At 52.1% G+C, this 27,511-nt stretch overlaps 1 protein-coding gene and 1 long non-coding RNA gene across 17 annotated transcripts in view, besides 9 other annotated features; one reads left to right on the plus strand and one right to left on the minus strand.

Annotated features, from left to right (window-relative positions):
• MCF2L (MCF.2 cell line derived transforming sequence like) overlaps positions 1–27,511 on the plus strand; it is a 205,408-nt gene that overhangs the window by 55,196 nt on the left and 122,701 nt on the right. For 4 of the 16 annotated variants that reach the window (NM_001438390.1, NM_001438759.1, NM_001438762.1 and 1 more), the window contains exon 1: positions 18,940–19,184. The exons of 6 other annotated variants lie outside the window; for them this stretch is intronic. In NM_001438390.1, coding sequence (NP_001425319.1) covers positions 19,007–19,184 — 178 coding nt within the window. In that variant the 5' untranslated portion in view covers positions 18,940–19,006. 6 more of the 16 variants (NM_001437889.1, NM_001438763.1, NM_001112732.3 and 3 more) reach the window with 3 other exon arrangements.
• Positions 2,205–2,499: a silencer, noted in NCBI's record as "tiled region #2656; K562 Repressive non-DNase unmatched - State 22:ReprW". NCBI's record gives its function as "represses a minimal TATA promoter and a strong SV40 promoter by Sharpr-MPRA in K562 cells {active_cell/tissue: K562}" and the evidence as "EXISTENCE:reporter gene assay evidence [ECO:0000049][PMID:27701403]".
• Positions 3,608–4,325: an enhancer, noted in NCBI's record as "H3K27ac-H3K4me1 hESC enhancer chr13:113607452-113608169 (GRCh37/hg19 assembly coordinates)". NCBI's record gives its function as "activates a minimal SCP1, AML or CMV promoter by ChIP-STARR-seq in naive H9 embryonic stem cells {active_cell/tissue: H9 hESC(naive)}" and the evidence as "EXISTENCE:reporter gene assay evidence [ECO:0000049][PMID:30033119]".
• Positions 6,648–7,388: an enhancer, noted in NCBI's record as "H3K4me1 hESC enhancer chr13:113610492-113611232 (GRCh37/hg19 assembly coordinates)". NCBI's record gives its function as "activates a minimal SCP1, AML or CMV promoter by ChIP-STARR-seq in naive H9 embryonic stem cells {active_cell/tissue: H9 hESC(naive)}" and the evidence as "EXISTENCE:reporter gene assay evidence [ECO:0000049][PMID:30033119]".
• Positions 7,389–8,128: an enhancer, noted in NCBI's record as "H3K4me1 hESC enhancer chr13:113611233-113611972 (GRCh37/hg19 assembly coordinates)". NCBI's record gives its function as "activates a minimal SCP1, AML or CMV promoter by ChIP-STARR-seq in naive H9 embryonic stem cells {active_cell/tissue: H9 hESC(naive)}" and the evidence as "EXISTENCE:reporter gene assay evidence [ECO:0000049][PMID:30033119]".
• Positions 8,129–8,869: an enhancer, noted in NCBI's record as "H3K27ac-H3K4me1 hESC enhancer chr13:113611973-113612713 (GRCh37/hg19 assembly coordinates)". NCBI's record gives its function as "activates a minimal SCP1, AML or CMV promoter by ChIP-STARR-seq in primed H9 embryonic stem cells {active_cell/tissue: H9 hESC(primed)}" and the evidence as "EXISTENCE:reporter gene assay evidence [ECO:0000049][PMID:30033119]".
• Positions 11,591–12,314: an enhancer, noted in NCBI's record as "H3K4me1 hESC enhancer chr13:113615435-113616158 (GRCh37/hg19 assembly coordinates)". NCBI's record gives its function as "activates a minimal SCP1, AML or CMV promoter by ChIP-STARR-seq in primed H9 embryonic stem cells {active_cell/tissue: H9 hESC(primed)}" and the evidence as "EXISTENCE:reporter gene assay evidence [ECO:0000049][PMID:30033119]".
• Positions 13,761–14,482: an enhancer, noted in NCBI's record as "H3K4me1 hESC enhancer chr13:113617605-113618326 (GRCh37/hg19 assembly coordinates)". NCBI's record gives its function as "activates a minimal SCP1, AML or CMV promoter by ChIP-STARR-seq in naive H9 embryonic stem cells {active_cell/tissue: H9 hESC(naive)}" and the evidence as "EXISTENCE:reporter gene assay evidence [ECO:0000049][PMID:30033119]".
• MCF2L-AS1 (MCF2L antisense RNA 1) lies at positions 17,954–19,108 on the minus strand. The gene has a single exon (NR_034002.1). It is a non-coding gene; the product is annotated as an MCF2L antisense RNA 1 (long non-coding RNA).
• Positions 18,839–19,358: an enhancer, noted in NCBI's record as "H3K27ac-H3K4me1 hESC enhancer chr13:113622683-113623202 (GRCh37/hg19 assembly coordinates)". NCBI's record gives its function as "activates a minimal SCP1, AML or CMV promoter by ChIP-STARR-seq in primed H9 embryonic stem cells {active_cell/tissue: H9 hESC(primed)}" and the evidence as "EXISTENCE:reporter gene assay evidence [ECO:0000049][PMID:30033119]".
• Positions 19,560–19,619: a silencer, noted in NCBI's record as "silent region_5537". NCBI's record gives its function as "represses an Ori minimal core promoter by ATAC-STARR-seq in GM12878 lymphoblastoid cells {active_cell/tissue: GM12878}" and the evidence as "EXISTENCE:reporter gene assay evidence [ECO:0000049][PMID:35858748]".

The following is a 27,511-nucleotide window of genomic DNA, read 5'->3' on the forward strand; positions in this document are numbered from 1 at the left end:
GACCAAGTTTTGGTTTATACCAAGGATGCAAAGCTGGATCAATATTTGAAAATTAGTCAACGTAATCTACCATATTAATAGACTAATGGAGAAAAATCATATAATCATGTCAACCAGTGCAGAAAAAGTCTTTGACAAAATTTAACACACATTCATGATTAAAAAAAAAAACAACAAAACTCTAGGACAGATAGGAGTAGAGGGGGGGACCGTCTTACTTATTAATGACTACCTACAAAAAATACCCACAACTAACATGACACTAAATGGTGAAAACTATATACTTTCTCCATAATATCAGGTACAAGGTAAGGTTGTCTGCCTTCATCGCTTTTATTCAACATTGTACTGGAAGTTCTAGCTAGTGTAATAAATCAAGAAAAATAAAAGGCATATGGATTGGAATGAAATAATTGAAACAGTCTCTGGTTACAGATGACATGATCATCTGATTATAAAATCCCAAGGATTCTACAAAAAAAAAAAAACTCCTAAAGCTAGCAAGTTCAAAAAGGTTGCAAGATACAAGATAAACATAGAAAAGTCAATTGTCTTTCTTTGTAGAGCATAAATACCAAAATTATGTACACCAAAATTAAAAATACAATACCATTTAAAATTACAAAAAAAAACCACTTAAGTGTAAATTCACCCAAATATGTACAAGACTTTTGTGCTGGAAACTGCATGATGCTGATGAGAGAAATCAAGGAAGATCTAAATGCATGGAGAGGCATACCATGTTCAAGGATTGGAAGACACAATATAGTAAAGATGTCAGTTTTCCTCAAACAGATGAACAGAATTCTTATCAAAATCCCAACAGAATTTTTTTTGTAGGTATAGTCAAGATTATCCTAAAATTTGTATGGAAAGTCAGAGGAGCTAGAATACCTAAATCAGTCTTGAAAAAGAAGAATAAGATGAGAGGAATCATTCTACCCAATACTAGGGCTTATTATTGCCACAGTAATCAGGGCAGTGTGGTCCTGGGCAGACTGACAGATAATAGAACAGAACAGAGAACTCAGAAACAGACCCACACAAATATGCCCAACTGATTTTTGACAGAGATGTAAAATCAATTCAGTGGAAGAAAGATAGTCTTTTCAACAAATAGTGCTGAAGTAATTGGATGTCCACAGGGAGACAAAAGAACCATGAGCCAAGTTTTACACCTTATATTAGAATGATAAGTTCTAACAATGAACTACAAATTTAAACATGAAATATAAAACTATAAAAGTTTTAGGAAAAAATATAGTAGACAACACTTAGGACCTAAAGCTGAACAAAGAGATCTTAGACTTGATGCCAAAAGCATGATCCATAAAAGGAAAAAATGATAGATTCGACCTTACCAGCATTGAAAACTTATGCTGTGTGAAAGCACCTGCAAAGTGGATGAAAAGACAAGCTACAAACTGAAGAAAATATGTGCAAACCACATAGCTGATAAAGGATTAAGAAATCTCAAATCTCACCAGTACAAAAACAAACAATTCGCTTAGAAAATGGGCAACAGACATAGAGACATTCCACCAAAGATGCCACAGTGAGGGCAGAAGAGCACACGGAAAGGTGTCAGTCAATAGTAGCCAGTGGAGAAGTGCAAGACCTGGGTACCACTGCACACCCTCAGGAGAGCTAAGATAAAAGATAGTGCCAACTTCGAATGCTGGCAGGGATGTGGATAAACTGGGTTACTCCTAAGTTGCTGGTGGGAATGTAAAATAGTATAGCCACTTTGGAAAACAATTTAGCAGTTTCTTTTAAAACAAAATATGCAACTCTCATATGACCCAGCAATTGCACTCCTGGGAATTTATCCCAGAGAAATCAAAATTTATGTGCACATAAATACAGGCATATGAATGTTTATATTCGTTTATTTGTCGCAGTCAAAAACTGGAAAGAACCCCAATGTCTTTTGGTGGGTGAAACGTTAAATTGTACGTCCGCACCATGAACTATTGATACCTGTGACAACCTGGATGAACTCTCCAGAGAATTATGCTGAGTGAAAAAAGCCAATTCCAAAAGGTTACTGTATGATTCCATTTACATAACATTCTTGAAATGGCAAAAGTGTAGCTGTGGAGAATAGTTCAGTGGTTGTGGGGGGTCCACGAGGGGTGATCTGGGAGGAACATGGGTGTGTCCAGGAGGGGCCACAAGAGGGTCCTGTGGGTAGAGACAGCCCAGGTCTGGCTGCGTCATTGTCAGTATGCTGGCTGCAGTCGTGTGCTGTAGTTTGGCAGGATGCTACCCCTGGAGGAAAACGGTACACAAGACCTCTGTTTACTGTTTCTCACAACTGCATGTGAACCTACAGTTATCTAAAGCAAGAAAAATCAGTTCACACCTATTCACTCTCTGTCAACAAACCCACATACACGCACCGCATTACAAGGGCTTTACCAATATGTAGAATCACGTGAAGTGGGAAGAGGGAAAAGGGCTTTCCTTTTAGGGAATTATGACCTTGACTGACTTAAAATCAATATTTGCTTCAGATTTGCAGGTCCAGATCTAAAAGTTTAAATAGATGTCAAAGTAGGTTAATTCAATTTCAGTGACCTTGGTGTTGAGCCTTTGAAACACTGCCTCCCAGTTAAGGCTTGAATAAGTTAACAGTTCTAAGGTTGAATCGGGTGTGTTTAAATATTCAGAGCCGGGCAGAGGGAGGTGGAAGGCAGCAGGCTACACTGTGCTTCGGGCTCCCTCCTGCTCTCTGTGAGCCTGGACTGAAGCCTCCTCTGGTTCAGGCTCAGAGACCTTGCAGCCCCACCCCTCCCTCCAGCCAGGTGGGTGTGGGTGGCCCAGGGATGCTTCAAGTGGCAGGTTTGTTTTCTGGGGATCCCAATGTGATCGTGAACTTGCTGCATCACAGTTTCCTGCCAACCACCTCCTTCTAAAGGAGAGGTGAGGAGGAATCTCCGTTTTCTTCAAATGTTTGGGTCTCCCACAGACCAGTCACCGGATCCTCTTGGCAAAATGAGGACCCCAAGGGTTTAGAATCTGAATAACTTTGCCTTCCTTCTCCTTATCTTTTCAATAGTTTGTGGATTGTTTGGGGCATATCTGGTGGGGAGAATCTGAAAGTTGAAAATAAGCAATAAAATGAAGGGTAAATGCATTACTATTAGTAAATTTCTAAACAGGGCAATGAACACCAGCTAACTAGAAACTGGCATGTCCCCAGCATTTGCTGTTTGGGACTGGAGTCATGTGGAGCAGGAACATAGCATCAGTTGCATCAGCACTCAGGTTTCACTGTGCTGGAGCTCCCAAAACCTAGCGTTTTATGGTCCCAGGGTGTCCATTGTTCCAGCTTCCTCTCCATCAAAATGTCAGAGCCACTGGCCAGAGAGAACACGGGGCGCCCCGTGTGATCAGCCACAAAGCAGGCGACACTAAATGCCCACTTTTGGAATGGACTGTTTACACGGGGGGCAGTTGGTTCTCAGAAGGTCTAAATGGGATGGGCCCGAGGGCTGCTGCTTCTGGGTGATCCTCTGTCCTGTGGCCTGGACTTGGGCCCCACTCCTCCTGGAGAGAGTGAAATGGAATGGCCTCTGTTTACTTCAAGAGTTAAATAAATACAGGCCTTCCTTGCTTGGAGCCGTGTTTTGGAATCAGTATTTACTTGGTGTGCTCTTGGTGAACTGGAAGGTACGTTTCCAGGTCTGCTTTTCTGTAGGAATGTGGGGAAGCTCTGGCCATCTGACAACTGTGTCAGCCTTGGCGTCCTCCTCCTCCAGCCCCCATGGACAAAGGGTGGGTGGGGTTGCCTGGCCCCCTTCTCACTGAAGGAGCTCCCAGGGAACATGGCCCAGACAACAGCACAGCTGCGGGGAGGGGCTCCTCGGTGAGAGGTGGTCACTGGTGCTGAATTGATATGGTGTCCGCTCCCCTCTCAAAAACAAGCTAACCGGTATGCACGGAGCCACAGATCTGCCAAGGGTGTTGGGAGCTCGAAGACCACAGTGCCTGCTCTGTTCCACGTAATTTACCTCTGCAGAGACAGGAACAAGGGTCAGGCAGAAAGCAGGGGTGGGAAAGATCCTGCCTGCAGACTTCACCTGTGGCCGGTGGTTCTAGAGGCCTGGGCAGGAGACCAGCTCAGTCTATGTTTTGTCTGCCCCCAGCTGACCTGGGTTCCCAGCCACCTGAGGCCAGGCCTGCCTTGGTCCTGCGTCAGAGCCCTCCCTGCCCAGGGGAAGTGCAGACCTGGGGCTGAGCCTGACCCCAGCCAGACCCCAGCCTGACAGGAGCGTTCAGCCACCTGGTAGGGGCTGGGTCAGACGGCAAAGGCAGGGAAGACGAGGAGGCTGCCAGGGCCCTGCTGTGGGCACTCGCTGCCTCACCTCTCCTCCCCCTGCATGTTTCCAGGTCGCATATGAGTGTCTAGGTTGGGAAAAGGGTCTCTGTGTGGCCAACGGAACTGTCTGCTCTGAGAACGCTGTGGCATGCTGGGCTTGGCTTGTGCACCACTGCCCTCAGAATGTCATTTTATTGTTGATCTTGTGCCTGATGTTGCGAAGTGAGGTGAGGCCATTGTGGAATGTGCACTCATCCTGGGACTTGCTATGCACTTGTCTTGTCACCCGAGGAGAGGGGAGGTGGCCTGGAGCCTGGGGCCTGCTCTGTCTCCCTGGAACTCCTGTTTCCAGGCCTCACACAAAGCCACATTGGAAGAGAAAGTGTGCCCAGCTCTGCCCACCAAGCACTGTCCTGGGCTTTCTCAGCTGAGCCTTCTCACCTGTCCACACCCCTCCTCCCTGCTCCAGGACACCTCCTGGGGCTGGAAAGTGGCCGAGGCAACCACCCTTTCCTGAAACCTCGAGGAGGCAGCACCCCCGGCTTCTGCCAGCTGCATCCTGACGTGCTGTTGATGCCCTGCTTCCCATTGCGATGTGGAGGACCTGCGGTCATTTTCACTCCCTCCTCATTTAACTTCACTATCCCTTGGCCTTAGTGGAGTTCATAGGGTGAAACCAGAGGAGGGTTTGCATGGAATGACTGCTTTGCTTGGAGCGAGCCTCCCTCTGTGGCATGGCCCTCAGTGGGCTCTTCCCACTGGGCTCTGACTGGCTCCCGAGGGGGCATGGGTGGGCTCAGGGTGTTTTCAGCCCCAGTGGCTCTAACCTGCCCCATGGTGCAGAACAGCTGCTCCAGGACCTCTGGGGTGCTTTTTGCACTCTTTATGGAGCTTGGCACGTTGCTGTGTAAATAGCAGGTGCTCCTAGTCGCTGCTTTGCTGTGAAAAGAGAAAAGCAATCCTGAATATTTAGAGCTCTGTGTGCTACACCTTCCTGCTGTCACCTGTGGGGCAAGTCCAGCACCTGGGGGGCCTGTGGGAGCCATGGGAACTCATGCTGTTTAGGGCGAGTTGGTCACGATGGCTGTGGCTGCAGGGTCCCAGCTATAGTGGAATCCAGCAGCCACAGTTTAATGTAGATGCTGTGCCGTTGGTGACATGGATACTTGCATGCATCAGACCTCCAGAGCTCTGCTGAGTGACGGGCAACATGGCCGGGACCCTGGTCCCAGGCGTAGCCTCTCTGGGGACTCAGGGACCCGAGGGAAAGCTGCCTGAGGCAGCAGGAGAGGAGTGAGGGGCTTCATGAGGTGGGGACCCCGTCCCATTGCTCAGTGCTGGGTCCCCAGCATGAAGTGTCTGACACAGAGGAGGCCTCACACGTCCTAAACCTGCATCAGAGCAGGATGAGTGGAGCCCAGCCCTCCGTCCTGGGTCCCCTTAGGCAGTAGCCAGAGGCTCCCAGCAGCCCCTCAGGAAGCTACCAGCAAACGGAGACATGGGAGCCGCACCCGATGGGTCTGATTGGGTGTGGCTATTTCCATGGCCCATTTTTGTGTTCAGGTTCTGATTGTCTGAACGTTGTGACATTGGCTGATATTTATTTATTGCTCACCACATGCCCGGTTACTGTTCAAATCAATTATATGCATTTAATCCTCGAAATAACCCACAAGGTGGGGACTTTGTGACCCCATTTTACAGATGGGGCTACTGAGGCAGAGAGATTGAGTAACTCCCTCAAGGTCACCCCCTGATAACTAGGATTGGAACCCAGGCAGGTGACTCTGGGACCCAAACTCTGAACCCCTTTGCCATAAGGCAGACTGCGCTGGAGGCTGTTTCCATTCCCCAAAAGAGCCCCTGCGCTCAGCATTTTGTGAGCTTTGAATGTGGAAGCTAAGACCGAGGGCTTGTCTGCTGTCGGAGAGTGGCCACCTACACACATCTTGAATGTGGGTGCCTTTAAAATACAGATATCCAGGAGATCCCCAGAAACGCTGGAGAATAAACGTCAGCTCAGGTTGCCATCATTTAGACGTTGCATTTAGTCCCGGAGGATGGATGCCATACCCAGGGGCCAGAGGCATTCTTCCCTCTGGCTTTTCATTTGGTTTCTTTTCAGTATTTGGAACGTAGAAATCAAGTCTGGATGTCAGAGTATTGATTTAGTTTTCTTTTTTCCCAGGAGGCGTGATTAACAAAGAGCCAAAATGGCAAACTGTGTGGAGGCCGTGGCGTGGGCTGTTCCTCGAGAGCCGTGCTTGTAGGGCTGGCCTGGGAGGGCATCCCTGGTCCGCAGAGGCCGGTCTGTGCCGCAAAGCCTGGGCGCAGGCACGGGAGTGGCAGGAGGGTCCTGGAGTCAAGGGAGCAGCTAAATTTCAATGCAGCAGCTTCTTTTTGCCAGAGATCCAGGTTAAAAAAAGAAAATGTTTCACCTTTTAAAAAATATCATACTTAAGACCTGCATTTGTTCTATACCCAGATCATCTTTTTAGAGCCAAAACATCAAGAAATATGGCCTGAAAAAGGCTCATGAAAATACTGTTCTGAGAATTAAGTGTTAATGACATTCTGAAACCTCACTGTTTAAAGAGATCCACTGCTAGTATAACAGGACCCCTGATATATTTATGCATTTATAAATTTATAAAATTCATTGTTAAAATCGAGCAATGCTGGAAGCGTCTGGCCCACGGATGATGAGGAGGCAGAGTTTTCAGAGGATGCTGGAGGACAGTGCACAGCTCCCTGCCAGTGGCTGCGGCTTTCAGGCTGCTGGGACAGTGGCCGGATGCAGACCTGTGTGGAGCAGCTGCTGCTGCTGCAGCGAGGTTGGCCACATAGGTGACGCCCTGCTAGGCGCATCCAGGTCCAGCCTCGAGGTTGTCCACTTTGAGGCCAGGTCTGCTGGGAATCCAGGCCTGCTGTGTCTACACTCTCACACTCCTTAAACTCTCCTGACCGGGACACACGATGAGGTTTTCCTATCAAACTCTACATGCATTTCGTATGACATCTCTGGATTTCATCAGCTCCGAGTAAACCAAGCCTTACTTACAGCCAGGAAGGCATTCAATACCCAGATCTGGTCACATTCTGCCCATTGGTGCATGTTTTAGAAGCATGTGTGTGTTTCTGCCCACCTCATGGCTGCTGAGGAACAGTGGCTACTGCGTGTCGTTCTTGTGATGCCTTTGTGATTTTGTGTGCAGAGCCTTATTTACAGGCCGCCCCCGAGAGCAAAGGATAATGGTGCATTATCTGTTGACGTGACCCTGGAGAGCTCTAACTGAACTGCACAAATGGGAGAATCCTCCCCTACCGGCCCCTGCTGCTCACAGACAGTACGCTCAGCTCAGCAGGGGCTGCTCTTACAAATGCCATCGCAGCACAGGCGGTCAATGCTTGGCATTTTCTGGGGCCCCTGGTTTCCTTTTAGAGGACGCAGTATTTTCAGAAATGGAGTTCACATGTGTGCTCATCAGTCAGCAGCAGTCAGCTGTGATGTCTCCAAACTGTAGAGGCTTTGGACTTTTTGGCCCACTTTCTTCATAGAACGATAGAGATTTAGGATCTTACTGCCCTAGTTTAATCTTGGTTTGCAGATGAGAGGCCGAGGCCCCGGGGTCCTGAGCCACGTGAGCTGGGCTTCCACCCTGGACTCCATGCCGCGCCTCCTCGCCAGATAGACGCCAGATAGACGCCAGATAGACGTGGCCAGTCGTGCTGTTTCAAGGTCTTATTCCAGTCAGGTTTTTGTTTTATTGATTTTTTTGTTCATGAAGTAGAATATGGTTCATGTATTACATACTTTTCTGTGTGTGTGTTTTTATTACAATATCTCATTTTCATGGGTTTTTATAACTTAAGTTACCTCTAACCTATGACCCTTGTAGTCTCTTCTTCCACCTTGTGTATCCTAATGTGGGAATTCTGCTTTGGTGGATGACTTTTGTGAAGTGAATTAACATACATTTCATTTAGAATAATGCTTTGAGCAACTCAAAGAAAGTGAATTTAATTTTATCACTTAGTTTTTATTTTATACTTAAAGAGCTCTATTTGCCTTATTCAGATTTTTGCTATCAGTGTTGTATATACACAAAGGGAAGCTAAGCAAAATAACTTGGTTAGATTTTCCTAAAATTTCTTCATTCAGCATCCAACTCTTCTGACTCCCTTACCTGGGACGTTCCCCAGCTGTCGCCGTCAGTCTTCCTCAGATGCCAGTTTGTTGAGGTGTTTCTCTTTCCCTGATGCCTCTTGTGCCAACAAATAAAGACTTTCAGCTCTTCCTGGGCTCTCGAGACCAGGCCTGCTGCATTCTCAGAGAAGCAGAACCTTAGGAGATGCGTGGACGTGCGTGGTTCGTCTGTGCCCCGTGTCATGGGCTGGCTTATGTAATTGTGCGGCTGGCATGTCTGACCTCAGTAGTGCAGACACAGGCTGGAGACCCACGCAGGATTTCCATGTGACAGTCTGCAGGCAGGTGTCCGCTTCTCCGGGGGACCCTGTCCTATTCTCTTAAGGCCATGCAGGGATTGAATGAGGCCCAGCCCACTGTGGAGGGGCACATGCTCCATTCGGAGCCAGCTGACCGCAGGTGTTAATCAGCCACATCCACACGACACCCGCACAGCCCCCGACGAGGGTGGGACTGGGTGGCGGGGGCTGGGGCCTCAGCAGGCTGACCCCTGACCCACCAAAGACCAGGCTGCATCCTGACTCACCTTCCTCATTTCCCTGAAATGCATCATTCCTTCCTGGCCACCTGCCTGGCACACGCCCAGGCTGACCGCATGGACCATTTGCTGTCTCCTAGGGTTTGTTACTTCCCGTGCCTTCATTACCCCTGGGGCCTCTCCTCATGCAGCTCCTCAGGCCTGGAATGCCCCCAGCCCTGCTCGTGTGTGGGATACGTGTGCCAGGCACCTCCTGGTGGGATTCCAGGTTCTGCCTTGGGGCTAAGAGCACCTGGAGGCTCAAGGTGACTTCTTTGAGACCCTCCCGCACAGGGTCTGGATGGCTCGTGGGAGAGCCGTGAACACAGAAGCTGCCGTGGAAGCAAATCCTGGGCGGGAGGATGGCTGCACCTCCCCCCGGAGAGCACCGGGGTCCTGCAGGAAAAGCAGAGGTCTCCTGTGGCCGCTATGCCTCTTCCAGAAACTTCCGTACGCACAGAATGAGCGTCGCATCCCAAATGCCTGGTAGTGGTATTGCGGATAAATGTTAACCTAGAGGTTTTTATCTGAAAAGTTCCAGTTTAATTTTTAAAGTCTTGTTTTTACCAATTCTGCTTGTTCAAGACATACCATATGCTTTTTTCCTCTAGTTTTTCTTTTAGAAAGAATTTAATGAATTGTGCTGGGATCACCCTCATATCGTTCTCCCTCACCACCCCCCGTCCTCCGGGTCTCTCCACTCTGGCCCCAGCAGTTGGCGTGTCAGTTATATTTATATTATACATCCTGCCATCTGGGGCTCTCATCGAGAGTTTCTCGGACATGGTGTGACATCAGTGGGTCCTTTGTTTCAGAACAAGCGCGTTCTCCTTACTCTCTGGCACGGCCTCGGTGTTTAGGGGTTTCCTCTCTCTGGGAAGCTGTTCCTTCTCGAGAACACAGTGTGCTTTGTTCCTGCAGTGAGGGAGGAGGGTCATCCTGGGGGGAGAACTCCTGGCAGCATACAGAACAATAGGACAGGAGGATACTGTCCATGGCTGTCTAGGTCTGAGCTGTTCAAAGGTATTCTCCATGTTTCCATGCGTTTGACTTCTAGGTTAGATTTTCTCCCTATTAGAGGGAATATCTCATTCCTCTAGCATAGACAGAGGGGGAATATCTGTTGGCAAGAGGGATGTCAAAACCCAAAAGTGAATTATTGGTAGCAACCCACGTGCAGTACACACCCACGACAACCAAGCTGCACAGTGGCCTGGCATGGTGTGTCCACAGCAGCAACGCACCGGTGCTGGAAACCGAATTTAGACTATTTGGAGTGCACACAGGCTCACGAGGCTTTCTGAATGGTCGTGCCTGTCTCCATCATGGGAGATGCACAGTGGACACGCTGTGGCCTGTGCTGTCTGTGACGGCAGCAGCACCTCCTGCAGGTGTGGGGAGAGCCCTCTCTCTGTTCTCACGCGTCGGGCTGCGGCAGAGGTGCCTGTGTCACCGAGGTCCCTCGGTAACTTCAGGGCAGAGGCCTTCTGTCCCGGACGCCTGCCCTCAGGGGCTGTGTCTTTGTCTGTTTTCTGCTGCTATAACAGAGTATCACAGATTGGGTAATTTACACACAATGGAAGTTTAGTTGGCTCATGGTCCTGGAGGCTTGGAAGCCCAAGATTGAGGGGCTGCATCTGGTGAGGGCCCCTGAGCTGCGTCTTTCCAAGAGACGGCCTCACCCGGTGAGAGAGCGGAGAGACCGAGAGGGGGCCAAGCGCGCTCTCACAACTGAAACAGCGCTCGTCCAGTCATGAGGGCAGGGTCCTCAGACCTGGTCACCTCTTCTTAGGCCCCATGTCCCAGCACGGCGGCATTGGGGGTGAGGTTTCCCACACACGACCTTTGGGGGACACATTAAACCCCAGCAGACTGCCTTGTCCCCTGCTCATTTTGGTTGTTGCATTGAAATGTGGGTGTGATGGATGCTGGAGTTTCTCTCCAAGGGGGCGGGATAGGCTGTCATTCTGGGGAAGGGGGGCTTTGGGGTTTCGGTGTCCAGGGCTGTGTCAGTTTCCTATTGCAGTTGACAGATCACTGCAAACACTGGCTAACCACACACATTCATGGTCTATAGCTCTGGAGGCCAGAAGTTCTAACACCAAGGTGTGAGCAGGGCTAGTCCCTTCTGGAGGCTCCAGGAAGAATCCTTTCCTCGCCCTGTCCAGCCCCAGGTGCTGCCTGCATTCCTGGGCTCATGGCCGCACCACCCAGACCCTTACATCCATCCTCACATCTCCTCCCTGCCTGAGCCTCCTGCTGCCCTGCTGGAAGGACCCTGGGATGACCCTGGATCTCCTGGATAGCCCCCAATGGCTCTCTGTGGTACGTGGGGGCCCAGGTTCTACCGTGAGTGACTGCAGGCCGTGCCGCAGCTCAAGTGGGGGCCCCTGAGGGGCCTCCAGTGTTTGGGCTGCAGTGACCAGGCATCAAAACACACACTTCCAGGGATGTTGGGGTCCTCCCTGACCCTGCTCTTCCCATGCATTCCTACCAAGGGGAGTCTGCTATGCCTCCACGTTGCATCTGCTATGCCTCCACGTTGCACCTGTTCTCCACGTGTGTCCATGTGAGCACACGGCAGAGCCCTGAAGACTTCTGAAGATGCGGGCTGCTAAGCTTTCTGCATATACCAAGTCTTAAAATAATACAAAATGTGATGAAGTGACTCTGCTGTTATTGTATTGTCATTATAATAAAATACAACTGGGCACTAATTTGAAAGTGTCGAGTGATCTTTGCAGGTATTCACTGCTTTGTACTTGGGCAAGCATTTGCCTTCCCACGAGCAGTCTTCTGCCTTGGGGTTCGGTTGGCCCTGCGAGGAGATGCCTGGTTCCCCAGGGGTAATCGTGCAGCAGGGCTGGGGGACAGGGCCTCAAGTCTTCCTCTAAAATCTGAGGAGCTCTGGTTCCTCCTCAGGGAACATGGTCAGGCCTGGTGGGACTGGCCCTGCCGTTCCCTTCCTGCTGCTGTGGGCTTGGTGTGGGGTCCCAGGCCCAGGCCAGAGCCCACCCCTCTCGAGGCCCTTCCTGCCATGGCCTGGCCGGGACCTGCAGCCCTCCTTCCCATGTCTGTGGCCACACACACAGCTGGGCTGTTGAGGGCATCCCCACTGCTACTTCCCGGGAGCTGCAGTCACCCTCAGTGAGCCCCTCTGTCCTCCTAGTTCAGGTCCTTCCGGAAGGTGCTTCCTGTGACACTGAGTCCTCGCCCCAGCCCAGGAGAGGCCACTGATGGATGGCCTGCTGGGGTACGGAATCAGAGGGGCCTCCTGCCTTGCTGTGACCACGAGAGGCCACTCATTCACCCTCACTCCCACCCTCCCGCTCTGCTCCTCACTCACCCACCTCCTCCAGTTTCTGCCTGCGCCAGCTTCTCCGTTGCACAGCGAGGGGACATGCACACACACATGCACACACAAACACGCTTACACATGGGCTCACACCCAGGCATGCACACACACACACGGACACGCACACACATGCACACACAAACACGCTCACACCCAGGCATGCACACACACGCACGGACACGCACATGCATGCACACACACACTTTCATGCAGACATGCTCACACCTGTGCATGCACAGATGCACACACACGCATGCACAAACATGCTCACACACTTGCACACAGTCACACTTACACATGCACACACACTTGCATGCAGACATGCTCACACATGTAGGCACAGATGCTCACACACGCATGTACACACACTCAGGCACATGCACATACACATACACACCTGCACACACACATACAAACACACATGTGGATTTTCCATCTAGTGAGGTGGTGCTGTCTCCTCGGAGGCCTGCATGTGCTGGTGGGTTGCGGTCCCTGTGTGGTGTCGGCTGGGCCTGCTGTGCTGTGAGGAGCCAGCCATGGGGGTGGGCCTCACTTCTAGCCGACCCAGTTGGTGGCCACATCCCTGGTGCCCAGGCCTGGTCCCTGGCCAGTGCAGCCTTCACACCTGACAGCATGGACAGACCCTTCTTGCCCAGACCGCAGCAATCAGGCACTCCCTCTCCTTCAGCTTAGGGCTGCTGGGCAAAGCACAGGCCTAACTCCGGAGCAAAACCCCTGAAGGCCCCAGCTCCCTAGCCGTTCTCCCGGGACCTCCCCCCAGGCTCTGGGAGGGAAGGCCCCAACCCCTACCCAGAGAGGGTATGAGGAAGGAGCCCCCCGTGTGCACCGGCTCTGCCCCTTTCTCCAGGGTACAGGCAGAAGGGGAGCCCCCCAGGCAGCCGATGCCCTCAACACAGTAGTTTGCTGAACCCAGAATCCAGGCATCTTTGCCTTCATTTTGGCTCTTCCAGGAAGAATCCCGTAGGTACCCACTGCTGACCAAGCATCTGGCCTGTCCAGATGCGGGGTGTGCTTCCCCTCTCTGAGCAGCTAAAAGGTGTTTGAAGGGGTGGGTCCCGTGGGTGAGAACCTGTCTGGGCCTGGAGCTCTGGGAGGTGGACGAAGGGGTTCTGGAATATTCCAGGCTGGTGCCAGATCTGTCATGGCAGCCTTCTCTCATGCCTGGCTCGGCTCTGCCCTGGGCACAGACGTCCCCTCTGAAAGGGCCCGTGGCTCCCACCCACCTCCACCACTCTCAGCAGGGAATGCCGCTGTCTCTTCACGTCCTCCTCCCAAACTGGGGCCCAGGCATGTCTCGTGGAATCTTAAGTTGCTTTTGAAGGAATTCTTTCTCCATGGAGCAGATTCCTTCTCCTCCTCTGGCAGGGTCTGACCGTGCTCCTTCTGGCCAGGATTCTGGGGCCTGGCATCAGAGCGGGTGGAGGGTCACTGAGCCTCCGCAGCTCCTCAGAGCGCTCTCTTTGCTCAGGACTCCACAGCGCGGCATGGCTAGGAGGGAATGACTTGTGTGGGGACTGGGATAGGCACCAGGTGGAACCTCAGGTCTGTCAGCAAGGGCCCTCAGGGGGTCCCCAGGGCCACTCACCTCCCTGCACCTGTGTCTCCAGCCAGTCCTGCATGTTGCTGCTCCATAGCCTGTCTTGGTCCCTTTCCTGCTATTGTGGGTAGAATTGCGTCCCCTGAAAAGATGTGTTGAGTTCTAACCCCCAGCGCCTGTGGGTGTGGCCTCATGTGGAGGTAGGGCCGCTGCCTCTGCAGATGCATGAGCTCAGATGGAGTCGCCCTGGAGTAGGAACCATCATCCAACCACCGGTGTCCATGGAAGACAGGGAGAGATACAGGGAGACGGGCTCGCAGCTGGGTGGGGCCACAGCCAAGAGTGCTGGCCCCCCAGAAGCTGGCAGAGGCAGGGCGGCTCCTCCACTGGCTTCAGTGTGCACGGCCACGCCAACCACCCACTTGCTCCAGGCCCCAGAGATTCCACCCCAAGGACGCAGGGGACTCAGAGAGGCTTGGCCTGCAGCCCCCACTGGAAGGGCTGTGGATGGGGTTCTGACACATTCGATGTAACTGAGAGAGGTTGGGTTAACCAGGCTGCCTGGGAGGAGACGGCGTCCACTTGCAGGTGCACTTCGGTGCAGGGTTGCAGGGGGCGGGGGGGCGGGGGGGCCCAGCTGGGGCTGTGCATAGCCCACCTCGGATGGCCCCTGCCCACAGCAACAACTCTTGAGGTTCCCTTGAGGCAGCCCCGGCACCCCAGGTTCTACAGTTGCCCACGTTGATGTCAAGCTTTGAGTTGTGGTTCTTGCCTCAGGAGCAGGTCTCCCCACCATGCAGAAATGGTCTCTAGCTTAAGTGAGTTTGCCTTTTGTTTTTTAACCAAACAAACCCATCCTAGCAATACCCGGGCTGCCCCCAGGATGGCATGAACCCATCATGATGCTCCCTGCGACAGGGAACCCCTGCCAAGGAACAAGGTGCAGAATCCCACAGCGCCCTGTGTCTGCTCATGTGGATGCATGTTACCATAACACGGCACATATAAAAATCATGTACAGATTTCAGAAACTTTAAAATAGCCATACCCTTTGTCCTGTATCTCTACTTGTAGGAAATTAACACAGAGAAACAATCAGATGTGAGATAATGATTTGCCTGTGTGTTTCTTTGCCACAGTGTTTATGACAGTCAAGAATCACTAGAAAACCTGATTAAAATTTGAAACACACATCCCAGGAAATATTCACTCAGCTATTTAAAATCATGTAGAGTAGCAGCATCATGAAAAAACGTTTAAGTGAAAAATTTGTTACAAAGAATAGACATTGCTGTTACAATTTTGTATAAAAAGGCATCAGAAGGATAAAGACCTCTAGGTGATGCTGTTAAAGTATATTTTATTTTTATTTTCTATATTTTCCAAAGTGAACACAATGATTTTATACTCAGACAAAAATACATATTAAGTTACTTGTTTCATGCATCACAACGTAATGGTCATTTGTGTGAGAACTTTAGATGACAGAGTCCAGGTCAGCAATCCTGCCAGATTTTATCCCCAAAAGACCATCTCCTCACTAACTGTCCTCATCAACTGATTCTGCGTTTATAGTTTATGTTAATGTGAATTCCAGACTTCCTTGCTGGGCAAAGCCATAAAAAAAGTCAGAAGTCCAGCAGCTCCTCCTCTTCCTTCCTCTCCTGCCCCTCCCCTCCCTGTCCCCCACTTCAGAAGTGCAGTCCTTCAGTCGTCCGTGTGTGGACCAGGACCTGCTTGCTGCTGGGACACAGGGACCTGTTCACACGTCACACTGGCCCCGGAGGGGGAGGTGCCAGCAGGTGCCCTCCCGTCACCACATGGAGGCTGTCACATACCCAGGTGCCATGTCACCTCCGCTGCAGCATGAGCTCTGGGCACGCAGGAGTCACCAGCCTTGCTCAGTGCTGCACCTCAGAGCCAGCCCTGGTTGTCCGGAATCGAGGGTTCGTTTCCAGATTTCTGGGGCCACGGCTCCAGTGCATCCCTGACATGCTGGGTGTTGTCCCGCGGGGCTCTCCCAGTCACAATGAGCTTGTGAATTTCCTCACAGTCCTTTTCCAGTCTCTACCCTCTCTGATACCCCTCCCAAGACATGGAGTGAGGCTGTGCAGGAAACACCTATGCCTGCCCTTCTGTGGCCGGGGCCACTGTGCCACTCCATAGCCCTGCTCCCCTAGCCTCGGGGTTGGCTCTGGGAGCCTGGCCCTGCCTGCTCCAGCTCCCATTTCTCACCTCCGCTTTGTGGCTGATCATCCAGAAAGGTCGCCATGAGGATGTTTGGTATCCAGGTGTCGCTTTACCTTCAGCCTCCCTCCTGGGGCGCCTCTGGTTCCCGGGAGAGAGGCCGAGCCAGGGATGGAAAGAAGCCCATCCCTTGGGACACACGGCTTGGGACCTTACCTAAGTGTCCTGGGTCTACCTGTCGGGAACTCTGTGGATGCCATTCCCCTCACGACACTACAGGCGTCCCCGATGCAGACACCACAGGTCTGCATCTTTGTGCCTCTGTGTGGCCTGGGGCAAGTCGCTGAACCTCTCTGCATATTCTGTAAAACGCGAAAAACAGTGCCTTCTCCCAGCTCTCTGTAAAGACCAATAGTTTACAGCATGGGGAGCACTCTGGCAGGTACCTGGAGCGCCTAGTGCTCCCTAATGCCAGGTGTAATGGTGACAATCGTTCTTTAGGCAAGTATTAAATGATGTTTATGGAAAGATGGCATCATCTGTGCTATAATTTAAGGCAGAATAAAGACTAGACAGAGCTAGAGAGAGACTTAGCTGAACAAATCAGCTCCTGAAATTGTGGGTGTTGGAAGGTCCAGGGGCAGCTGGGGACTGGGGAGAGTTGGGTTGCAGTCCAGGCTGTCTGGGAGCAGAGCTCCCTCTTCCTCAGGGAACCTCTGTCTTTTTCTCTCAAGCCCCTTGATAGATTGGGTGAGGCCCACCCACGTTATGTCACACACCTTACTCAAAGTCTACTGATATAAGTGTCAATCTCATCTAAACATACCTTCACAGAGACATCTAACCTAGCATTTGACCCAATATCTGGGCACGGTGGCCCAGCCAAGTTGACAAGTAATAAAGCCAATGACCACAGAGACCAAGGGTCTCCACCCTGGTGCCCCAACATGACATGGTGCCAGCCAGAGGATATTGGCCAGGGGACAGAGTGGATGGCACAGGGTTGAGGAAAGAAGCCAATAGCATGTGTGGAGATGCCCAAGGGGTGAAGAGGGAGATCGGAGAAGCGGGACAGGCCAGAGGGTGTGGCCCTTTCCTTTCATCTTGCTTTTAAGATGCAACAGATTTCAGCAGTGTTTCTCAAAGTGTGGACCAGCACATTCAACATCCCAGGAAATTTTGCTAGAAATGCACATCCTCGGGCCCCATCCCAGACCTCCTGGATCAGCAAGGAGCCATCAGAGCCCAGCTGTGTGAGCTTAACAAGTCCTCGGTAGATCCTGACGCAGCCCAAGGCTGGGCAGGCTGGAGGGCACCTGCATGCCAGGAGAGCGGCCGGGAGAAGAGGGCAGGTGCTCAGAGGGAGTGTGGCCTAGGGCCGTGTGGGCTGAGGACCAGGGAGGGTGTTGTGCCTTAGACTAGTGGAAAGGGCAGGGCCTGCATTTCAGGACCCTTCTGCCTGATGACAGGCTTTCCCTGAAGCTGGAGGGGCAGGGTTGGGGTGGGGGGGCGGTGGGGGATGGGGAGTGGTGAAGGTTCCCTGAACTGACAGGGAATGAGAGGAGCAGACCCATTTGAGGGCACTTTTTGCAGACCATGTGTAGACAGGAGGTAGCAATTGTGCCGCCGTAGGCACCCTGGGCAGCCCAGGGAACGCTTGTCCACAGAGGGAGAGGCTCCCATCCACTCTGAGGCCTTTCCAGAGTTCTCCTTTCACTGGTCTCCAAAGAGATTCTGTAGAACCAAGTGAAACTGCTGATACTCAATACGTTTCTCATGTTAAACAAAAACAAAAACAAAGCAGCCATTTCTTACAGATTTATTCAATACTTTCTATCTGGTTATTATGCCTCTTATTCTGTAATTATTTTTTATTATGAATTATTTATTTCCAGATCTGTCTGGCCTATAAGGCCTGTAGGCACTATAAGGGGGAGTACTGCGTCACCTTCATCTTTTTATCCCTTTGGCCTTGCTCCGTGCCTGAAAGCTCACCACACTGGAACGTCCAGGTGCACATGTGCCACTGGACACCGGGATGTTGCCGGATGCTCTTTTGGACGCTGGAATGCTGGTGCATTGTTGCCGGATGCTGGAATGGTGCACGCACGCTCTGTTGGACGCTGGAATGCTGGTGCATTGTTGCCGGATGCTGGAATGGTGCACGCATGCCCTGTTGGACTCTGGAATGCTGGTGCATTGTTGCCAAATGCCGGAATGGTACACGGATGCTCTGTTGGACGCTGGAATGCTGGTGCATTGTTGCCGGATGCTGGAATGGTGCACGCATGCTCTGTTGGACGCTGGAATGCTGGCGCATGTGCACATGTTATTGGCATGAGCTGTAGTTCAAACCTCAGCCATATGATGCTTGAATTCCCAAACCATTCGTGGAAATGTGTACTTCTTCCTGCTGGAATTCTCTCTCTCTCTCTCTCTCTTTTAACTGATTGGGGAGTGAGGTGGGGGGGGGGGTCTTGCTACATTGCCCAGGCTCAAACTTCTGGGCTCAAATGATCCTCCTGCTTCTGCCTCAGCTTCTGCCTCGGCCTCCGGAGTAGCTGGGACTACAGGCCTGAAATACTGTTTCTTTAAGGAAGGGCATGTTACCTATAATACCAAACCACAAAAGGATAGCTGCGGTTTTGGGCGAGGAGAGCTCAGAGAGTTTCTTGCATATGGCCCTGTGATGGCGGCCATGGCCCTGCATAGACACGAGCTGGAATCTGCAGGTGGCAGCCAGGACGCTGCGTGTGTCGAGTGCACAGTGTGGCTTGGTGCCAACCATGGCGAGGGTGGAGAGCCCCGTGCCTGCAGCGCGCGCTTCCCTCACTGGGTCCTGCGTCCTTGGGCAGGCGATGCCCCTGCGGGGAGGGGCTGGTCCATCCCCGGCCAGCCACGGACCCACGCATGGACCCAGCGACCCACGGACCTGCTTACCTGGGCGCGGCGCGGGTGGCATGCGGCCACACGGAAGGGGCGCGCTGGGCTGCTGCGGCCTCTGCAGCTTCTACACCTGCCACGGGGCGGCCGGAGGTAAAGGGAGGCGGCGGCCAGGCGCGGCCCCGCGGAGGCAGCTGCACTCGCTCGGTCCACTCGCGGCTTCGCGGCTGCCCGCAAACCAGGAGGGCGTGGAGACCCGGAACCGGGGGGAAGGGCGGGGGCACTTGTGCGGCACCCGCGGGGCTCCCAGGGGACCTCGGCGGTGACACGAATTTCTAGGTGACCTTGGCGGTGACACGAATTTCTAGGTGACCTGTGTGATACACTAGGTGACCTAGTGACACAGGTGACACTTCCAGGTGACCGCGGCGGTGACCCGCGGGGCTCCCAGGTGACCTCGTTGGTGAGCCCCGGGGCTCCCCGACGACCGCGGCGGTGACACGCGGGGCTCCCAGGTGACCCCGGCGGTGCACTCACAGGACTCCCAGGTGACCCGCGGTGGTGACACACCGGGGCGGGCGCGCGCCGCTTCCGCTTCCGCCGAGCCGCCCCCCGCCCCCCGCGGCGCAGCGCGCGCCCCCCTCCCGGTGGCGCGGAACCAATCCTGGGCAGGGAGGCGGCGGCTGGAGGCTGAAAGCGCTGCCGTGGCCCCCTCCCCGCCTCCGCCGCGCCCCCTCCGCACTCGCACGGCCCCACCCGCAGGCGCCCCCCGTGCGGAGGAAGCGGATCTGCCAGGATCATTTTTGTTGTGTCGGAGGATGAGGTTTTGGCTGAGGACTGAAGAGATGGCCTTGGAAGAAATGGTGCAGAGATTAAATGCGGTTTCCAAGCACACGGGTAGGAGGAGCTGCTGGCCGTCAGTGATCTGTGCTTAAGCTTGACATCATGGGCTGAAATGTGGGGAAATGCGTCTGATTTTTGTAAGCCGCCCTCGTGTTCCTTTCTAGCCGTGGTAGCTGTGACATGGGGGGCACTGGTTGGCAGCTGGTGTGTTTTCAGAGGCTGTCGGCGATCGTATGCTGCCCGGGATAGTCAAAATGACTGCACGTTGGTGACACTGGCTCTCTCAGGGTTGCTGGGTCTGCATGCGGAGCCATTTGTGTGTCTGAAGTCTGCCCATCAACCTGCCTGTCCGCAGCCCTCGCAATGGAGAATGCATTGCGAATGGAGAATGATCTGAGCCAAGGGCTTTCAGAGCTTGGGGTTTCAGAGCCAGGGGTAGGGATGGTGAAGCTACCTGGAAGCTCGTTTTGAGGATGAAAAAACCTGGACTAATCAGGTGGTTCTTTTCTTCATTAAATGCAATTTAAACCTAAGACAGATGTTTGAGACGGTATGGGTAAAGAGTGGACTGGACGTTCATTTTCAGTATTAATCGAAATATTACTTCAAATAAGCTTTGAAGAGTAGTTCAGATCGATTCTTTTAGGTGTAAGCAGAGACTGGGCTGACAGCTTGCATCTGGCCGTGGCTTTCAGGCGGTCGCATCTGAGTTCTCAGGCTGTGTTATGCAGAAGGGAGAGGCATCCTTAACTCGTTTTCCTTGAAATGAAGAGGAAATAATGATATATCATTAAAAGTAAGTTGCCAAGTGTTTTGCCTGATGTTGCCATATGTTATGTCATATATGCCATTACTAGTTGTCTAACTAGTACTTGCCTGGGAGATTAAAATGTCAGTTGCTTGGTTTGGGTGTGGTTCTCTTTCTCTGCCCACCCCGATGGATTCTGAGAGTGAACCAGTGATTAAATCAGCATAAGCACCATCGTATGGGATGGTCTAATCAAGATGTTTTTAATGGGGGCTTTTATGATCAAAGCTGCTGGGTTTATTGTATGTGGGTCGAAAGAAAACAAAACCATTTTCATGCCGTCTGCTCCCTGATTCTTAGAGAATCAGCTCTTTTTCTGAAGCTTGAGTGGAGCTTTTCCGTGCAGGGTTTGCAGGGTTTGAGTATGGTGAAGGGCTGCGTGGATGCCAGGTTCACAGGGAGGCTTCCGATCGGCTGTGGGGGTGGAGGAGAAAGCCCCCCTTGCTCTGCATGCCTCTGCGTGCCGTTCGGTGTCAGAGTCACAGAGTGGGAACCGCTCCAGAGGCTGATGTCATTCCCCAGGTTTTTAGGGATTGGGGTTTCTTCATGAGCTCCAAGAGACATGTGCGCATTTTTAATTGGAAAAAGGCTATCTCAGAAGAGCAGCAGTGACACTGTCTGCTCACTGAATGTCGTGCGAGCCGGGCGCTCGGTGTGGGCCATCGTCTCATCTGGAACAGGCAGTGAGATGTGCGTCCTCCCACACATCTGCATTACCGATAATTGCATGCTTCACCAGGACTTTCAAGTCCAGCTTACCAGATATCCTCGGTTATGAGCACCCTGTAGCGTTTAGTTAGGGGAGGTGACCCTGCATCATACTCCACTTACCACCCATTAACACTGGCCTCTTCCTTCAGCACAAACCCATTTTCTGCTCACGCTGTGTGAGGTACTGCTCAGCGGAGGCAAGTTATTAGGTTGAAGGCTGTAAAACCATCATGAGGGGGTTTATGATGCAGTATTGACATGATGCTACCACAGAGTGTACGGGTATGTGGTGCACATTCTCTGGTAGGGGTGAAGGTCAAGGTAAACCTGATCCCCACCTCGGGTTTAAATTCCAAGCACTTCCTCAGGAGAGTTCCCCACCTGCAGCCAAACACTCTTCAGCGGGAGGTCATGGAGCTGCTTCTCCTTCTGGGGTCATGCTAGGATCCGTGCCAGGTAAAAGCTGATGGCAACAGGACACTGATGTGGCGGCTGGTGTAGGTCCTCAGGGCAGTGGCGGGGCTAGGTCACAGCTGAGGGATTGCGTACAGCGGCTGGCCTTAGAGCAGCTGCCTCATTCAGCTGTGCAGAGCTTCACCCTCTGTAGATTCACCCCCAACCCACAGGCATTTTATCTTTGCTGCTGTCCAGGACATGCTGCTGTGTTTTAATTTCAGATTTATGCATTTCTTCTGTCACCTAGAACCTTCATTAGCTAGGCTAATCTGCATGTAAAGGAGGATAATGTGTGCTGTCCATATGGTCTGTGAATCTGTAGCCTTTGACCTTGAGAATTGACATTTTATATACTTTTCTGAACCTGATCTTCAGTAACAAGGCCAGGGGCACTTTCCAGTGGCAACTTCCCCCTGGCCCCCCTTCTATGTGATAGGGCTCATTTTCGTCTGTTTTGGTTTTCTCTTTGGAATTTTAGTCATTGGTGAAAAGGTAGAAGACATTCGAGGGAGCAATGCTATGGATCTAGTTGATTTAAGCATTCGATGAAACAGAACAGTGGTCCTCCAACTACAGCATGTACATGCGTCACCTTGGGGGCTTGTTAAAGCACAGGCTGCTGGGCCCACCCTCAGAGTTTCTGATTCAGGAAGTCTGGGGTAGGGTCTGATAATTGACATTTCTTAAGTTCTTGATGAAGTTCTTCAGGAATCAAACTTGGGGAACTACTGTGGTAGAAGAATCTTTAAATCTAGCCCCACCTTTTCCATTAGTTGACCTAATACTAACTCTTGTCATAGACAGATGATGATAGATGGATAATGCATGGATAAATGAGTGGATGGATGGATGAATGGGTAGATGGGTGGGTGGGTGGATGGATGGGTGGGTGGATGAATGTAGGGGTGGATGAATGGATGTGTGGGTGGGTGGATGGATGGATGGATGGATGATGATGGATGGATGGATGTGTAAGTGGGTGGATGGATGGATGGATGGATGGATGGATGGATAAATGAGTTAGTAGATAGTGGATAAGTGGGTGGATGGATGGGTGGGTGGATGAATGTAAGGGTGGATGAGTGGGTGTGTGGGTGGATGGATGGATGGATGATGATGGATGGATGGATGTGTGAGTGGATGGATGGATGTGTGGGTGGATGGATGGATAAATAGATAAATGGAGGATGATGAATGGGTAGATGGATGGATGAGTGGATGCTTGGACGGATGAGTGGATGGATGGATGGATGAATGAGTTGGTAGATAGATGGATGAGTGGATATATGTATGTAAGGTAGATGGAGGGGTAGGTGGATGGGTGTATGGATGGATGGATGACTGGATGACTGGATAGATGAATGGGTGGGTGGATGGATGGAGGGAGGGAGGGATGGATGCATAGATGAGTGGATGCATGGAGTGGAGGAGTGGATGGATGGATGGAAGGTGGATGGATGGATGAATGGATGGATGGATGGATGAGCAAAAGCTGTGTGCTGCCTCCTGTCCTTAAGCTCTTCCTGGGAAGGGCCTGTGGCCTGAGCAATGGGCTGAGGGACACAGCAGCACGGAGGGGCTTTGGGGGATGAGGGGGCTTCCCAGGACCACCACACAGGCACAGCTGTTCGGCACCCCCCAGTTGCAGGTCTCAGAGGAAAAGCTCTGGGGGGACGCGCCCAGGAGGCAGGGGCACGCATTTCTGTGTGGAATTGAAGAGCTCTCAGTGGAGTAGGTGCGGCTCCCTGGCAAAATGCCACCTGCTTATTAGCCAGCCCAGCGGTTTCTGACGGACGCCTTAGCACTCCCCTCTCACGCCTCTGCCTTCGGCCTCAGTGATTGGCGTCTCCTCAAGGAGCCATGATTTCTTTGTCCATTTTTTAAATGTGCTGAGGCCCTTTAGGAGAAAAACCACGCAGCCAAATGAGGTACGTCTGTGTGGGTTGCTGACTATTTTGTAACATGAAATTTAGGTCTCTAATTAGATAGGTGTGACTATAAAGTACAGAAACATTTAAAAAACAATTAGCTTTCATGGGATGTTGTTATGGATCTTGTTAGTAGGGATTCCGGAGCAGGTTTTAGAGATTTGAGCGGAGGGAGGCTTGTGAGGAAACCGTGAGTCCTCTGAGCATCCTTGGTGTCCTGTGTTGCTGACCTTCTGTGATCTGACGCCACGGCTCAGTGCTTCCCAAGAGCTCCTGAGAACGCAGCGCTCAGGCCTCCCAGCTGGGTGAGTCTGACGCCCTCCATGCGAAGACGGCGCGAGCACGGCTTCACCTGTGGAACCAGGGGCAGACTTATGAGCTCCCGGGGGTTTCAGTTCCGGCCTGCTCTGAGGACACTGGGGGGCCGGCCCTGTGTTTGCTTGGAGCGCCCTTCAGGGAGACCCGTGGCTCCAGGGGCTGGCGCTGAGTGACCACAGGCAAGGTCTCAGGAGTGAGTGATGCCAGGCAGCACCTGAGAAGGGGATGCCTGCGAGGTGTGTTCCGAGTTTCATGGGGACTTGTGTTGGCCACCGCCTCCTGAGTCACTGGCCCCTTTTCACGCTGCACCTGTGCCTTGGGATGGTGGCCGCCTTCCAGCGTCTTCCTGATCTCCGTCTTCAAAGCCGCTCCTGACTCTTCCACTGCCCCCTCTGACCCCATCCCCCACTGTTTCATCAGCTCCCATCCTGGCGCTTCCTCACCTGGTGCCTCATTGCCCGGCACTTCCTTATCTGGCATTTCATCACCTGCCGCTCCACATCACCTGCTGGCTTCCTCCTCCTTTAGTCTTACGTTTGGAGTTCCCTGCATTTGGCTTCCCTAAGGGTAAGACCACCTTCTATAGTGGTGCAAACTCCCCCTCAGAACTAGGGGCACCAGTTCCGCAAAGGCACCCGGGCATGGCTAACCTCTGAGTCTGCAAAGCCCCTTGCGTGGCTGACTTCCAGGTCTGCAAGGGCCCCCGGCGTGGCCAACCTCTGAGTCTGCAAAGCCCCTGGCATGGCCAGCCTCTGAGTCCATGAAGCCCCCGGCGTGGCCAACCTCATTGGATGAGTTTGCTTGGACTTTTGCACCCCTGGCATGCTGCTGTTCTGCTGCTTTTCATAAGCCTGGCCCCTTGGGTGTGGAAAGTGCATGGATTTTAGGGGTTCCACTCATTTTGCAGACGTTCTGGGGAAAATCACATTTGTTGATCATCAATACCAGCTGAATACCAGAGGGTGCACTCCAGAATTAGACCTTCAGGGACTAGTAAATATGAGAGATACTGGAGGATGAACTCCAGAATTAGAACTTTAGGGACTAGTAAATATGAGAGAAGCTGGCTCGGGAGACCTGCTTTCGCCATAATAAAAAACAAGGCATAAGCATCACAATCAGAAGTTCTCCAGGCTTCAGCTGCTCATGAAAGGCATGCTATGTCTGACAAACACATTTTCATGAGTAGAGAATAATTTTAACAGACTCTAGGGTCTACTGACTCATAATTTAACCAAATACAGTTTCTGGAGCCAAGCTGGTTCTGCAGCCTAATTATGGAAAGCTCGGCTGCCTTTTCCGTGTGTTTCGTTTCCTCCGCCGCCTACGACGTGCAGGCAGCACTCTCAACATAGCCCCTTCTTTCACCAGAACTATCGTTTCCACGTCAGCTCACGTCACCATCCGTAGAGTTGGAAGGATACCACTGTAAGTAGTATTTTCACACTTCTACCCTTCGGATTAACTCAGAAGGTATCTGGTCACATTCATTTTATAACTCTGGGTGTGGAGAAAGAAGCATCTGTTACGCCTTTTGGAATGTTTACAAGCTAACTGCCCTTGTCTGATACACACACAAAAATGGAGCTGCCTACATTGGAATTCTAGCGAAGTACTGAAGTTAGAATGTCTAATGTCTGGTGGTCATATGTGGATAAGATGTGGGATGAGGTTTGCACCTTGTGAGGTTAGCGGGGCCCCTATGAAGGGTTGCATTGACTATTAGGTTAAAATCACTGGTGCTGGACCCGTGACCTGTGAGGTCAAACCCCAGCTCTGCCATCTGTGGCTGTGTGGTGCCTCGGTTTCCCCATCTGCAGAATGGACTCAGGAGAGCACCTACCTGCTAGGGTTGATGTGACAATCAAATGAGTTAAATCTGCATGAAAAGCACTGAGAAGCACCCAGCAGGCAGGAAGCTGTGGGGACCCGTTTGCTGTTAGGGTCACTTGTGCACATGGTCAGTGCCGGCGGGTACCCGCCATGAGCACCTGTGCACAGCAGGGAGCCGCTGCCGTGGTCATCCTCAGGGAGCCGCTGCCGTGGTCATCCTCACATACAGTTAGGTGTGTGACCGCACTGACGATCCCAGTAATGAAGTATGTGGGGATTTTCCAGGTAAATGAGAAGGAAAAGGAAGGTTCTGAGAGGAAGGGTCTGTGGTTGACCTCGTTGCGGTCGCACGGTGATAGAGGTGACATCCGTGGTCACTGTTCTCCCAGATGCCCACGGTCGCAGAGAGCTCGAGCCCGGGCTTCAGCACGCAGCACCTCACAGGCCCCTCTGCCATAGCAAGCTCCTGGCCTCCCTCCCTCCCTCCTTCCACCCCAGGAGCCTTTGTCCAGTGTAAACCCCAGGAGATGCGCAGTGCTGGGAAGAAACTGAACCTTTGGGAAGAGACACTCAAGAAAACTTACAGTTGCGAGTTTGAAAATACAACAGATCCGATTGTTCCTTCTAAATTATGGGATTGCCTGGCATTTGCCTCTAAATTGGGCTCTCAGCGAATGTTCCGGGTTTTTTTTTTTGTTTGCTTGTTTGTGTGTGTGTATGTGTGTGTGTGTGCGTGTGTGTGTGTGTGTGTTTGCTTTACTCCTTTATTAATAATGTTAAAGAAATGAGACAAATCCCCAAAGCATGAAAACCAATTTCTCAGCATTAGTCATATTACTTAATTGTGCTACTTAATTCACTAAAGGAAAGAACTAGTATTAAGTTTCATTAATGACATTTTTGGCAATATATTAGAGATGGTGAGCTAATGCCCCAAACAAGACTTCGTTTCTGTAAGAATGCCTTATCTTTTAAAACGAAACTTGTCATGGACAATGAAGAGAAGCATTCCAGCTGGAGCACCTGTTAAACGCTGCACAGGGGACCACACGCGGCTCTGGGCTCGGCCTTCAGGTCGCTCATGGGGCGGCAAGGCTGTGGCGGACGGCAGTGTGTGATGCTCACGCGGGGAGCAGCACTGGGTCACCTGCACCTCTGAGGCAGAGCTGTGTGGCCTTCCCAGCCATTCACCAAAGGTGCCTCCACCAGACCGGAGCCACGACCTTCCCTGGCGGGTCCCGGGCTGGGACTGAAGGAGAGGAGGGGCTGCTCGGTGAGTGGCCTCTCAGACACCATGGCGGGAAGACGACAGAGCCGTGAGGAGACACACACCAAACCGGACACACAGGCCTCCTGGGCAGCGGGAAACCTGGAGACAAGGACCTGGTCCAGCAGGGCTGGCGCAGAGGGGTTGGGGTCGCCCAGTCGGACAGTGCGGGGCTTCCCAGTGCTGCTGTCACTACCCTGTGGGGGCTGCATGGGGGAGTCATCGGTTTCCACAAGCACGCTCTGTCCTTCCCTGCACCCCACGCTTTACTGAGAGAGGAAACGAGACACCTTCGTCTGTGCCACAACCCAGGTGT

This window comes from Homo sapiens, chromosome 13 (assembly GCF_000001405.40).
Source record: "Homo sapiens chromosome 13, GRCh38.p14 Primary Assembly".
NCBI classification, from domain to species: domain Eukaryota; kingdom Metazoa; phylum Chordata; class Mammalia; order Primates; family Hominidae; genus Homo; species Homo sapiens.